The following is a 13,357-nucleotide window of genomic DNA, read 5'->3' as shown; positions in this document are numbered from 1 at the left end:
TAATTAGGGTAGATCCACTTCAAGCTCTTATACGGGAAGATTATTTTTAGTTTCTCTGTCTTTCCCCACCCCTCCATTCCCAAAGTATACCTTTGCTTTTTAATAGAATCTGAATCCTATAGGTGTTCAGGTTCTTAAAATTTCCTTTCAAATAACGGGACCAGTTAACTTTCAGGAAAAAGAGGCCTCTCTGAGGTTAACAAGAACACAACCAACTGTGTTAAACTTAGAATAAAGTTTAGTTAGCAATCTCTCTGATTGCTGGGTAACAGAATTGGACTCAAGTTCCCAAAACGGAGGCTGCAGGCCCTTGCAAAGAGAACCTAGACTGTGCTAAAACAAGCTAAATCTGTGAAAGATTTTGATTTCTATATCCCAAACAATATTGCAGTAATAGCCACACAACTGTTACACATGATTTGCATAATCGCAGACACTTGGGGCTAGAGGAAGTAAAAGATCTTCAGGCATGACTCAGTGTTTTTCCAAATTGGGTTGACCTAAATTACTTTTATTATAACATGACTAATACTACAATCATAAAACTAGGTATTAACTCCTTATGGTTATAATTCTCAGACAACTACAGGGCCTATTTTGCAATCAACACATCTACAAACTAAATACAAATAGGACCACAAAACCAATGCAATTGAAATTAGCGATGTTAATTTAATGCAAAAGATGATGTTGATTTGCTGAAACAAAAAAAATCACCTAATATGGCACAAGGGCCTAGGGCCTAGCAGGTTCTTCTTCTTCTTTTTTTTTTTTTTTTTTTTTTGAGACAGGGTCTTGCTGTGTTGTCCAGGCTGGAGTGCAGTGTTGTGATCACCACTCACTGCAACATTGACCTCCCAGGCTCAAGTGATCCTCGCACCGCAGCTTTCCAAGTAGCTGGGACCACAGGCTTGTAGTAGTCCACCATGCCTGGCTAATTCTTAAACTTTTTATAGAGATGTGATCTCCCTATGCTGCCCAGGCTGGTCTCAAACTCCTGGGCTCAAGAGATCCCTCCCACCTTGGCTTCCCAAAGTGCTGAGATTACAGGTGTGAGCCACCATGTCCAGCCCCTCATAGGTTCTTTTGAGGTCTGTTTATGTATACTTTTCTATTTTTTTCTATTCAGTCTGAAACCTTTCTGACTCTATTGAGTGCCTGGCGGTCATCTGGCTTTCCCTGGTCTTCAATGCATCGTGCATATATTAAATCCCACTCCTTCTTTTCTTTTTCTCATTAGTCTGTGACAATAAAAGACAACCTAGAGCCAAAAGAGGATTAAACATAATCGCAGGGGCTCCTCCAGATGATCCAGAATGTGCTTGTAAGAGAATGCACAGCCCCTGAGATCATGCCTACAAACTCAGTCTGATAAACTCTGATCCAACCTGATCATTCCATGGCAACCCACTCCACTCTGCCAATTACTGTTAGCAAATTCTATCACTGGCCAGGCATGGTGATGCATGCCTGTAATCCCAGGGCTTTGGGAGGCCAAGGTGAGAGGATCCCTTGAGGCCAGGAGTTTGAGGTTATAGTGAGCTATGATTCTGCCTCTGCAACTCCAGCCTGGGCAATAGAGCAAGACCCTGTGTCTTAACAAATAAATAAATAAATAAAATTCTATCACTGGATTTGCCATCTCTGGCCACACAGAACAAGAATTTTAATTCCACACAACATCTCTTAAACTATTTGAAGAGAGCCATCCTGTGATTCCCAATTGGGATCTTCTCCAGGCTTCAAGAGCCTACTTTTCACAGAAGTTCATGCATCAAGGCCAATCGCCACCTGTGGCTACTGATCTTTGGTTATACCACAGGGTCTTCCTTAAGACACACTTCCCACAACTGACCCCAGGTTATGGTCTGAGCCTCGTGGAGCACAGTGGAAGGTCAAGAACATGCTGTTCTGCAGGCTCCCAGGAAAAGGCAGGAGGGATAGCTTCTGAAGGACAATTTCTGGACCAGCCACTTTACGTACTTAATTTTTTCACAAATATTTACTGAGCACTTCGAATGTGTTGGGCAATATTCTAGAAGCTGGGGACTCAGCAGGGAGTAAACAGACTAGGTCTCCGCCTTAATGGGAGTTTACCTTAGAGTGGGGAGTCAGACGGTCAACAACTAAACCTGCAGACATCTAGCATAATGCTGGGTCAGGGGACAGAGGGTGCAGAGGGGAGGCTGTTCTGGATGGATGGTCAAGGGTGGCTTCTCTGGAAGTAACATTTGGCTAGAATGAGTCATCCCTGTGGATTTCTAGGGGAAGAACTTTCTAGGCAGAAGAAATAACAACTGCAAAGGCAATGAGGTGGGTGTATACTAGGGGTGTTCAAGGAACATTAAAAGACATCTGTACATTGGCATGGCCAAGGGCGAGGGTAGAAGGTGAGGCAGGAGTGGGGAGAGGACATGAAGCCTTGTAAGGCCACTAGCTTTTATAATGGGGAGCCATTTGGGCAGATGAGTGACGTGAGGTAGTAATTTATGTTTTAAAAATCCCTCTAGGCTACCCAGGAGGCGGAGGTTGCAGTGAGCCAAGATCGCGCCATTGCACTCCAGCCTGGGCAACAGAGCGAGACTCCATCTCAAATAAATAAATAAATAAATAAATAAAAAATCCCTCTAGCCTGAGCAACATAATGAGGCCCCATCTCTACTAAAAAAGAAAAGAAAAGAAATAAAAAAATTAGCTGGGTGTGATGATGCATGCCTGTAGTTCCAGCTACTCGGGAGGCTCAGGCTGAGGCTGCAGTAAGTGGTGATCATGCCGCCACAGCACTCCAGCCTGGGTGACAAAGCGAGATTCTGTCTCAAAACAAACAAACAAACAAAACCCTAAAAATCTCTCTGGCTGATGGACAAGTTCTGGAGATAGGTGGTGGTGATAGTTGGATAACAAGATGAATGTATTTAAAGCTACTTAACTATTTAAAAAACATTAAAAAGGTAAAATTTAAGTTACGTGTATTTTACCACAATAAAAACATTTTAAAAGGCAGCAAAAGAGGCCGGGTGCAGTGGCTCAGGCCTGTAATCCCAGCACTTTAGGAGGCTGAGGTGGGCGGATTACCTGAGGTCGGGAGTTCGAAACCAGCCTGGCCAACATGGTGAAACCCTGTTTCTACTAAAAATACAAAAATTAGCCAGGCATGCTGGCACACGCCTGTAATCCTAGCTACTTGGGAGGCTGAGATAGGAGAATAGCTTAAACCCAGGAGGCAGAGGTTGTAGTGAGCCAAGATTGCACCACTGCACTCCAGCCTCGAAGACTGAGCAAGACTTTGCATCAAAAAAAAAAAAAAAAAAAAAAAAAATGGAGGCAAAAGAAAGCATTGGTCATATATTTCATTATTATTTAAGTGAAAAAATATCCCTCTGGTAACGAGGTAGAGAACAGTCTAGTTGTGCGGGTAAGGGGTGCCAGGTAGAGCATGGCAAAAGTTAAGATTATTTAGTTCATCTTCATAACAATCTTATGAAGCTTATGTGGTTATCTTTGTGTGGCAGATGAGAAACCCAAGACTCAGAGAGGTTAAGTTACTTATTCAATGTCACACAGTAAGTGACAGCCCTGCTGACTGTGAAGTTAAAATCATACTATTGTGCTTTCATGCAACCTAGGCGTGCCTGAACTTGCTTTTCCAGCCTTATGTTACACGTACCAATTTATATCAAGCCTAAAGTCAAGCATATCACTCAAGTGGGTTTTGTGTAAGTTGCTAAGCTACACCGTGCTGCGCTCTACTTGTGTCATGGTGTCTTTCATTCACAGGCACATTGTGTTGCTTTTCATTCCCACATTTTGTTTTGCTTGCCTGATTTCCCTCTATACATTTTCTATTCTTTTTTTTTTTTTTCAGACGGAGTCTCGCTCTGTTGCCCAGGCTGGAGTGCAGTGGCACGATCTTGGTTCATTGCAAACTCTTCCTCCTGGGTTCACGCCATTCTCCTGCCTCAGCCCCCCGAGTAGCTGGAACTATAGGCGCCCGCCACCACGCCCAGCTAATTTTTTGTATTTTTAGTAGAGACGGGGTTTCACCGTGTTAGCCAGGATGGTCTCGATCTCCTAACCTCATGATCCACCCGCCTCGGCCTCCCAAAGTGCTGGGATTACAGGCGTGAGCCACCGCACCCGGCCTATACATTTTCGATTCTTTAGAACAAGTCATAGCTCTTGTTTGTTTTTAAAGACCCAGCTTGAGCCTCCAAAAGCCAATCTAAAATCTTCACTGCGTTCTGTTTTGGACACTCTCCTTTTTTCCTCCTTTGGCACTTTGCTTACTTGTAGCACTGTTGTCCAAGCCCTTGTAAGCAGGGGTAAGGTGATCCTTATAGGATAATACAAGGTGCTGAATGAGCACTCCCTTGCTTAACAAACATTTGAGTGCTTACTTTAAATCACAGCTGCTCCAGGCTCTGGGGATACAACAGCAAACACAACAGACAATTCCTGCCTTCATGGAGCTTACACATGCGTACGCGCGCACGCACGCGCGCACACACACACAGTAAATTTTATAGCATGTCAGGTGATAACTGCTACTGAGAAAACTAATGCAGAAAAGAGGAAGGAGGAATGCTGGGATGGCAGAATTATAATATCAAACACAATAGACAGGGAGGGGCCTCACTGAGAAGGTAATATTTGAGTAGAATTACAGCAAGTGAGGGGATAAACCATGTGGCTATCTGGGGAAAGGCCTTTCCAGGTAGAGTGAAACAGGCAGTGCAGGTAAGAGAGAGAACTAGCAGAGAGGCCCTCAAACCTGGAATAGAACCAGATGGGGCAAACTAGAGACAAAGTCAGTAAGGTAGTGGGAATGAGACCATGAGGTCTTGGGCTTTTACTGTGAGTTAGAAGCTACTCTATGGTTTGGGGCCTAAAACACAATCTATTTTTAATATTAATACATATTTGCTGGCCGAGCGCGGTGCGTCAGGCCTGTAATCCCGGCACTCTGAAAGGCTGAGGGCAGATCACCTGAGGTCAGGAGTTCAAGACCAGCCTGGCCAACATGGTAAAACCCCATCTCTACTAAATATACAAAAATTAGCCAGGTATGGTGGCACACCCCTGTAGTCCCAGCTCCTTGGGAGGCTGAGACACGAGAATCACTTGAACCCAGGAGATGGGAGGCTGCAGTGAGCCCACATTGCGCCACTGCACTCCAGCCTGGGCAACAGAGCAAGACTCCATCTCAAAACAAACAAACAAAAACTATTTGCTGACTGCTGGAACAGACTCCAGGCCCCAGGTGTTATGGGGTTAAGAAGGGGAATTAATGTTTACTGAGTTCTGGCTAGATCCCTGGCCCTGTGCTAAATGCTTTAATGTCACCACCAATGAGACCAGCAGGTGCTATTGTGTCCAGAATTGGTTCCTTCTGGTGGGTTCTTGGTCTTGCTGACTTCAAGAATGAAGCTGTGGACTCTCGCAGTGAGTGTTACGGTTCTTAAAAATGGTGTGTCCAGAGTTTGTTCCTTCAGATGTTCAGATGTGTCTGGAGTTTCTTCCTTCCAGTGGGTTTGTGTTGCGCTTGACTTCAGGAGTGAAGCCGCAGACCTCGGCAGTGAGTGTTACAGCTCTTAAAGGTGGCGCCTCCAGAGTTGTTTGTTCCTCCAGGTGGGTTCGTGGTCTCGCTGACTTCAGGAGTGAAGCCGCAGACCTTCGCAGTGAGTGTTACAGCTCATAAAGGTAGTGCAGACCCAAAGAGTGAGCAGCAGCAAGACTTACCGTGAAGAGCAAAAGAATACAGCCTCCACAGGGTAGAAGGGGACCCCCAGTGACTTGGCGCTGCTGGCTCGGGTGGCCAGCTTTTATTCCCTTATTTGGCCCCGCCCACATCCTGCTGATTGGTCCATTTTACAGAGTGCTGATTGGTCCATTTTACAGAGTGCTGATTGGTCCGTTTTTACCAAGTGCTGATTGGTGCATTTACAAACTTTTAGCTAGACACAGAGCGCTGATTGGTGCATTTTTACAGAGTACTATTGGTACGTTTACAAACCTTTAGCTAGACACAGAGCGCTGATTTGTGTGTTTTTACAGAGTGCTGATTGGTGCATTTACAAACCTTTAGCTAGACAGAAAAGTTCCCTAAGTCCCCACTCCACCCAGGAAGTCCAGCTGGCTTCACTTCTCACTATTATGCTAATACTCTAATGCACACCATCACCATCTCTTGCCTGGACCACCACAGTAGCCTCTTATCCAGTCTTTTCCACATGATGGCCAATCATCCTTTAAAACATAAATCACACAATGCAATGCCTCCCCCTCCCACACAAAGCCCTCAGTAGCTTCCACTCACTCAAAATAACATTCAAATTCTAGCATAGGCTGCAAGGCCCTGGCGAGCTACTGTTTCCCCCACCCCATCCATCCTTCTATGTTGTCACTCACGCCCACTTCAGTCTTGCTCATGATCAAATAACCCTGCTGGATTTCCTCTAAAGCACTTACAGTCATCTGAAATTATCTGGCTGGTTTTACAATATTTATTGACATGTTACTGTCTGCCTTCCTAGAAGATAAGCTCTAAGGAGCCTAGAATGATTCCTGGCACACAGTAGGTATCTATAAACACTGGTTAAATAAATGAATGAGAGAAGGTAAGCATCTCTTCCAAAGTTACTCTCAGAGTAGGCATCCAGTTAATCAACAAACAAATTAAACCTCAAACCACTTTTTCTCATTCATTCAAAACACACTGACCGAGGTCCTTATTACCAGTCAGGTGTTAAGCTAGGGATATGGTAGCAAACAAGACAAATATAAACTCATGAAATGTTTACAGTCTAGAGCAGGGGTTCTCACCATTTCTCCATCATGGACCCCTTCGGCAGTTTCGTGAAGGCTACAGCCCTTCTGAAAATATTATACAAGCACAGGAGTGTGGTGTGACCATGGGGAAGCAAAAGAAAACAAGGAAGTATGCGACCATGAAGTGAATGCTTAGTCTCAGGGATCAGAGGCTTACAGAAAAGGATAAATTAAAACCTAAAAAGAAAGAAAAGAAGGATCCCAGCGTGTTAAAGGAAAGAGAAATTCCCCAACACCCTACCTGCTTATTTTTCCAATATAATACACAGCTGGGCCCACCTTACCACATCCTCATTGATACCAACCTTTATCAACTTTTCCATAAAAGCCAAACCAGACTTAGTGCAGTCAATGATGGACTGTCTGTATACCAAGTGTATTCCTTGTATAACTGATTGTGTAATGCCTGAAATTGAGAAATTGGAGCAGAAGTATGGAGTGGCTCTAAGGATCACCAAGGATCCAAGATTTGAAGGATTACCATGTACACACAAAGGAACCTAAGCAGATGACTCTTAGTACAGAGAGTAATTCAGCATAAGTTTTATATTGTGGCCACAGTTGACCAGGACCTTAAAAGAAGAATCCCTAAGATTCCTGGAGTTCCTGTCATGTACATTTCTAACCATAGATACAACATTGAATGAATGCCAGATGATTATGGAGCCCCTTGATTCTAATTCTCATAAGACACAGTTCCTCTGCCTTTCTTCAACCAGCTTTCTCTTGCTGCCAGTTCATTACACATGCAAGAGCATGAATTATTATTCTGTTGACCTATTTGCTCTATTATGAGCTGAGGATGGTTAAATATGCTCACCCCTTTTTTTTTTTGAGATGAAGTTTCGCTGTTGTTGCCCAGGCTGGAGTGCAGTGGCACAGTCTCGGCTCACTGCAGCCTCTGCCTCACAGGTTCTGGCGATTGTCCTGCCTCAGCCTCCCGAGTGGCCAGCTAATTTTTTTTTTTGTATTTTTTGTATTTTACGTATTTTTAGTACAGAAAAATATGCCTCAGCCTCCCACGGTGCTGGGATTGCAGGTGTGAGCCACTGTGCTTGCCCTGCTCACTTTTTGATGCTGTTTTGAAATTGATATTTTGTCTCATAAAAATGTTAGGCCAGGCCAGACACGGTGGCTCATGCCTGTGGTCCTGGCGCTTTGGGAGGCCGAGGTGGGTGGATCATCTGAGGTCAGGAGTTCAAGACCAGCCTGGCCAACATGGTGAAACTCCGTTTCTACTAAAAATGCAAAAACTGGCCGGGCATGGTGGCACGTACCTGTGTTCCCTGCTGCTGGGGGGCTTAGGCAGGAGAATCGCTTGAACCCGGGAGGTGGAGGTTGCAGTGAGCCGATATTGCGCCATTGCACTCTGGCCTGGGCAACAAGAGTGAAACCCTGTCTCAAGAAAAAAAAAAAAAAATTTAGGCCAGGCACATGGTGACTCACGCCTATAATCCCAACACTTTGGGAAGCCAAGGTGGGCGGATCATCTGAGGTCAGGAGTTCCAGGCCAGCTTGTACAACATGGCGAAACCCCATCTCTACTAAAAAAACAAAAAAAATTAGCTGGGTGTGGTGTCACATGCCTGTAATCCCAGCTACTGGGGGTGCTGAGGCAGGAGAATCGCTTGAACCCAGGAGGTGGAAGTTGCAGTGAGCGGAGACTGCACCACAGCATTCCAGCCTGGGTGACAGAGTAAGACTGTCTCAAAAAAAAAAAAAAAAAAAAAATTTAATGATGGTCAAAAGGTACGAAATCTCAGACAGGAAGAATATGTTTTATGCTTTTTTTGATTTACGTTATACAGTGTGTTGCATATACTTAATAATAGAGTGTTATACATTTCAAAATTGATGTTCTCATCACAGAAGTGTATTTGAAGTATTGGATATGTTAACTAGCTTGATTTAATTATTCCACATTGCATTCACAATTTATGACATCACTTTGTAACCTATAAATTTATACAATGATAAACTGTCAATTTACAAAAAAAAATTATACAAGCATAAAGTAAAATGCAGCAGGCTTACAAAGGAAACCAATTATAGTGACATACAAGTAATGCAACTACTAAAAAACAAATTTGCAATATAGTAATACGTATATTTCTTTCTTTTTGAGAGGAGTTTCAATCTTGTCACCCAGGCTGGAGTGCAGTGGCGCGATCTTGGCTCACTTCAACCTACACCTCCCAGGTTCAAGCTATTCTCCTACCTCAGCCTCCCAAGTAGCTGGAATTACCGGTGCTCGCCACCATGCCCAGCTAATTTTTGTATTTTTAGTAGAGATGGGGTTTCACCATTTCGGCCAGGCTGGTCTCCAACTCCGGACCTCAGGTGATCCACCCGCCTCAGCCTCCCAAAGTGCTGGGATTACAGGTGTGAGCCACTGCACCCAGCCTGTAATATGTATACTTCTTAATGTGTCTACTAACAAGATCTAGTGATGAAAGACTACAGTGTTCTCATAACAAGGAAAACAGTAATATTTTGAGGTATCATCAATATTCTTAATGTAATATAAAAAAACTATCACAGAGTTACAGATACTGCTAATTCTACCGTAGTTTGTAGATTATATTCATAATTAAGGCAATGCTAAATTTCAGCTAGAGGTTAGTGAAAATAAAGACATAACTTTCTTTCAATCCAAGTTTGCCCTGAATTCTATCCACAGATCCTCTGAACCTCCAGTTAATGCTCCCTGGACTTCAGTGGGGAAAGTCTGGGCAGCTCTTTTTGCCTCTAGAGCCCAATTCAATTCCAAAGCTTCGATACCATTTGGAATCATTTTGAAATTTAAGAAGTTCTTCTACATTCACTATGCAACCCAGAGCATCATGATACATGTTCGAGGTCACCTGTTTATTCAGAGTTCCTGGGAAATCAAAACTCTAGGAACCAAAAGGAAAACAAAAAAAAGCAACCATCACCTTATTTAAAAAAAAAAAAAATCTACCAGACAGGAGTCATGGAAACAAACATTCCAAGAACCAATTTCAGGTTTTACTCTTGCCTCCGTAGGAAAGAAAAAAATAATCCCAAACAAAATTACCTACATACTGCCTTATTTGCAGAAATGGGATTTACAACTGCCTATTTCTAACTGTAGCAATTATGAACTTATTTTCATTTTTAAGAGTACTGCTAGAGGGCCGGGTGCAGTGGCTCATGCCTGTAATCCCAGCATTTTGGGAGGCCAAGGTGGGTGGATCACTTGAGGTCACGAGTTCAAGACCAGCCTAGCCAAAATGTTGAAACCCCGTCTCCACTAAAAAATACAAAAATTAGCCAGGCATGGTGGTGTGCACCTCTAGTCCCAGCTACTCAGGAGACTGAGGGAGGAGAATTGCTTGAACCCAGGAGGCAGAGGTTGCAGTGAGCTAAGACTGAGCCACTACGTTCCAGCCTGGGCGACAGAGCGAGACTCCATCTCAAAAAAACAAAACAAAAGAGTACTACTAGATTTTGCACAGGAAAAATATTCACATATAAGTATCAAGGTTAACGTTACCAAATGATTTTAAATTTGGATTAACCAAGATATTTACTAAATGCTACCATCTGGGATAAATCCATTCTCACTTAATCTTTCACACAGATTGAGCTTCACATGGTACAAGATATTTCCCACGAAGTATACCAGAGGATAAGAGCTTGGGATTTAAATTCCAACAGGCAGGGTTCAGGTACCACCCTTGCTAGTACTAGCATCACTGCACAACTGCTATCTTCTAAGCTTGAGTCTGCATGTGTGTAAATGGGAATAATGACAATAACATCTCCCTCACAGGTCCACTGTGAGGATTAAATGAGGAAAGGCACGTACTCCTTAGTAGTCATCACATAATCATATATGTAAACATTTAGTCAATGGTGGTTACTATTTATAAACCAGTAAAATCTCTCCCACATGCTCCTTAGCCATTAGCACATTTTTTTAAATGATAAAAGTGATAAGCATCTTGTGAATGAAGACATTTTGGAAAATACAGAGACGTATAAAAAAGAGGCCATAGACTCTTACCTCCACCCAACTCTAATTATCTGCCTATTTCATATAAACAGGGGTATAAAATTTAAAAAGAGAGTAATACATGTATTAATTTTTTGGAGACACTGCCAGTTTTGATGCAAGTTATCTTTTTTTTGTCACAATAAAAATGCCTTTCATTATTGGTCTGGATGTTTTGTACCTTCTCCAGTACTAAAAGAAATGTCTGTTTAAATTTAGAGAAGGAGGGGAAGGGCACTTGAACACTATGGGAGGTTCTACTGTAGAATTCTGGAAGAAGAAAAAGGTGTAAATTATTTCACAATAGAGTAGAAATTACAGGAAGTCCAAACAGAACCAACTGTTACAGTAATGAATAAGGAAAAGGTACCAAGTCTCTTTCTTGGCTGTCATGTAATAACAGACTTGAGTTGCAACAGCTGGGGTGTATGCAAGTTCAGGGGATGATTTTACATGTGCCATTTAATCCAGGTACACTAGACTAGTACCTTTCTCAAAACTCAGAAAATAAATTGCTGTGAAGTATAAAAGGATTCAACCCTGATTACAAATGGGATAACAGGTAATTTTTGCTTAAAAAGAGCCTCTAGGAAACAGGAGGTTTGATCAATTTGTTTCATGTACTTCTACTTCTTCCCTTTAGGGTGCCTCAGAATGACCTAGTTCTCCCTTCTCTGTGTTAACACATGACACATCTTTCTCTGACAGTCAAAATTCGCAGATTATCCAAGTTTTAGAAGCCAAATTATACTTGTCCCTTTGTTGCCTGCGGACCTGGGGCACTGCCTATGAGTGTTTCAAGCGACAACCCAGATGTTTTTAACCTTTAAAAAAAAATTTTTTTTAAATACAAGGTATTTCTCTGTTGCCCAGGCTAGAGTGCAGTGCCATGATTATAGCCCACTGCAGTCTCCAATGCCTGATCTCAGATGATCTTCCTGCCTTCATTCCAAGTAGCTGGCACTACAGGCACACGCCACCAAGCCCTGCCAATTTTTTGTATTTTCAGGAGAGACGGAGTCTCACTATATTTCCCAGCCTGGTCTCGAACTCCTGAACTCAAGCGATCCGCCTGCCTCAGCCTCCTAAAGTGCTGGGATTACAGGCGTGAGCCACTGCGCCCGGCCTAAGATGCATCTTAAGGGGCACTGTTCTATTTCTACCATCTCGAATAGTATTTGGCCAACTCTTTCCAGCTATGTCCTGAATTTAAAGTGGAAAAAGGAGAAGAAGAAAATTATAACAGGTCTCTATTTAAAACCTGACGATTTAATCCTTCGCTGAACTGGGTTACAGAATTTTTCGAAAGTCAAATGGAGCTTCGGGACGGGCCTGCCTATGACCTGCACCTTGGGCCACCTTCCCCAGGGGCACCTGCCAAGGTGCAGGTTAGGGCGACTCAGTCCTTTGTCCCCACTGCAAGGGTTGGGAAGAGAAACGGGGGAAGCCGAGGCCGAAGAGCCGGCCTAACTTCATTTCCACAAATGATTCCCGGTGACCTCAAGTTAGAGTATGAGCCACTGGAGTGCAGGGTACGGGAAAAAGGAGAATTTGGGGCAAGGGGCACTTCAATTTGCCGCCTAAATTCGCATGACCAGGCCTAAATTCGGATGCGTTGCCATTTCCCACAGGGAAAGGCTCCGTGCGGCTACCAGTTCACATTCCTCCAGCTGAGTGCAAGCGGCTCCGCTCTCCCTCGGCGTCCGCGGACACCCGGGCACTGCTCCCCGGAGCCACGCAGCAGCCGGGGCATGGCCGGGGCCAGGCCGAGGGAGCGCCGTGCTGCGCCCGGGAACCCGCCAGGGCCTCCCAGGCCGGGTCCCGCCTCTGCTGCCCCCTGCTGGCTGCCCGCGAGCCGGGGCGCCCCGAACTCTCAGCGCCTTGACCACCGCGGCTCGGGACCGGGGCGCGGTTACCTCTTGGGGACATCAAAGGCTCGGCAGGCGGCGGGGCGCGACGGCTCCCCACACTTGGTTTTCCCATAGCGGATCAGGTCCTGGAAGATCGCGCAGCCCGGGAGCAGGCCGGGCGGCAGGAGCTGCAGCAGTAGGGTCAGCAGGAAGGCGGCGGTCAGCGTGAGCCACACCGCGCGCAGCGGGTTCAGCGCCGAGTGCTCGGCCTCCGCCCAGGGAGCCATGGCCCGCGTGCCCGCCTTCCGCGCTGCTGGCGCCCCCACCGCCCGCTAGCCCGCGGAAGAGCGGCCACTAGCGCGCGGCGCACCGGTCTCAGCCTAGCGGGACGTCGGTGACGCGGCGCGGGGCGGGGACGCGCAGAGCCCCTCCCGGACTCGCCGCTCAGCCGCGGAGGTCCTTGGTCCTGGTCGCGCTGGCGCTGGGTGGTCGCTCGCAGTCCCTAATCTGGGCATGGGGATTCTTAGATGGAGCTCCAGAATATGATTCATCAGAAGCAAAGACGCAAAACAGACGAGACCACGTGTCTGCCACTCTTATCAACATTATCTCCAAAGCAAAAAATGGAAACCTTACATGTTGCATTTTAGTTTATTTAGCT

At 44.9% G+C, this 13,357-nt stretch overlaps 1 protein-coding gene and 1 pseudogene across 4 annotated transcripts in view, besides 4 other annotated features; one reads left to right on the top strand and one right to left on the bottom strand.

Annotated features, from left to right (window-relative positions):
• Positions 1-13,078, bottom strand: part of SRD5A3 (steroid 5 alpha-reductase 3) — a 26,859-nt gene extending 13,781 nt beyond the window's left edge. For 3 of the 4 annotated variants that reach the window (NM_024592.5, NM_001410732.1, XM_005265767.4), the window contains exon 1: positions 12,763-13,078. In NM_024592.5, coding sequence (NP_078868.1) covers positions 12,763-12,983 — 221 coding nt within the window. In that variant the 5' untranslated portion in view covers positions 12,984-13,078. Of the gene's footprint in view, positions 1-8,105; positions 8,243-12,762 lie in introns of those variants that run through there. The other variant, XM_017008601.2, reaches the window with a different exon arrangement.
• On the top strand, positions 6,882-7,874 carry FCF1P8 (FCF1 pseudogene 8; annotated as a pseudogene).
• Positions 12,496-12,765: a silencer, noted in NCBI's record as "silent region_15437". NCBI's record gives its function as "represses an Ori minimal core promoter by ATAC-STARR-seq in GM12878 lymphoblastoid cells {active_cell/tissue: GM12878}" and the evidence as "EXISTENCE:reporter gene assay evidence [ECO:0000049][PMID:35858748]".
• Positions 12,496-13,357: a biological region, named in NCBI's record as "H3K27ac hESC enhancer GRCh37_chr4:56212130-56212890".
• Positions 12,597-13,357: an enhancer, noted in NCBI's record as "H3K27ac hESC enhancer chr4:56212130-56212890 (GRCh37/hg19 assembly coordinates)". NCBI's record gives its function as "activates a minimal SCP1, AML or CMV promoter by ChIP-STARR-seq in naive H9 embryonic stem cells {active_cell/tissue: H9 hESC(naive)}" and the evidence as "EXISTENCE:reporter gene assay evidence [ECO:0000049][PMID:30033119]".
• Positions 12,976-13,145: a silencer, noted in NCBI's record as "silent region_15436". NCBI's record gives its function as "represses an Ori minimal core promoter by ATAC-STARR-seq in GM12878 lymphoblastoid cells {active_cell/tissue: GM12878}" and the evidence as "EXISTENCE:reporter gene assay evidence [ECO:0000049][PMID:35858748]".

This window comes from Homo sapiens, chromosome 4 (genome assembly GCF_000001405.40).
Source record: "Homo sapiens chromosome 4, GRCh38.p14 Primary Assembly".
NCBI lineage: Eukaryota > Metazoa > Chordata > Mammalia > Primates > Hominidae > Homo > Homo sapiens.
This window is presented reverse-complemented; position numbering and strand designations above follow the sequence as displayed.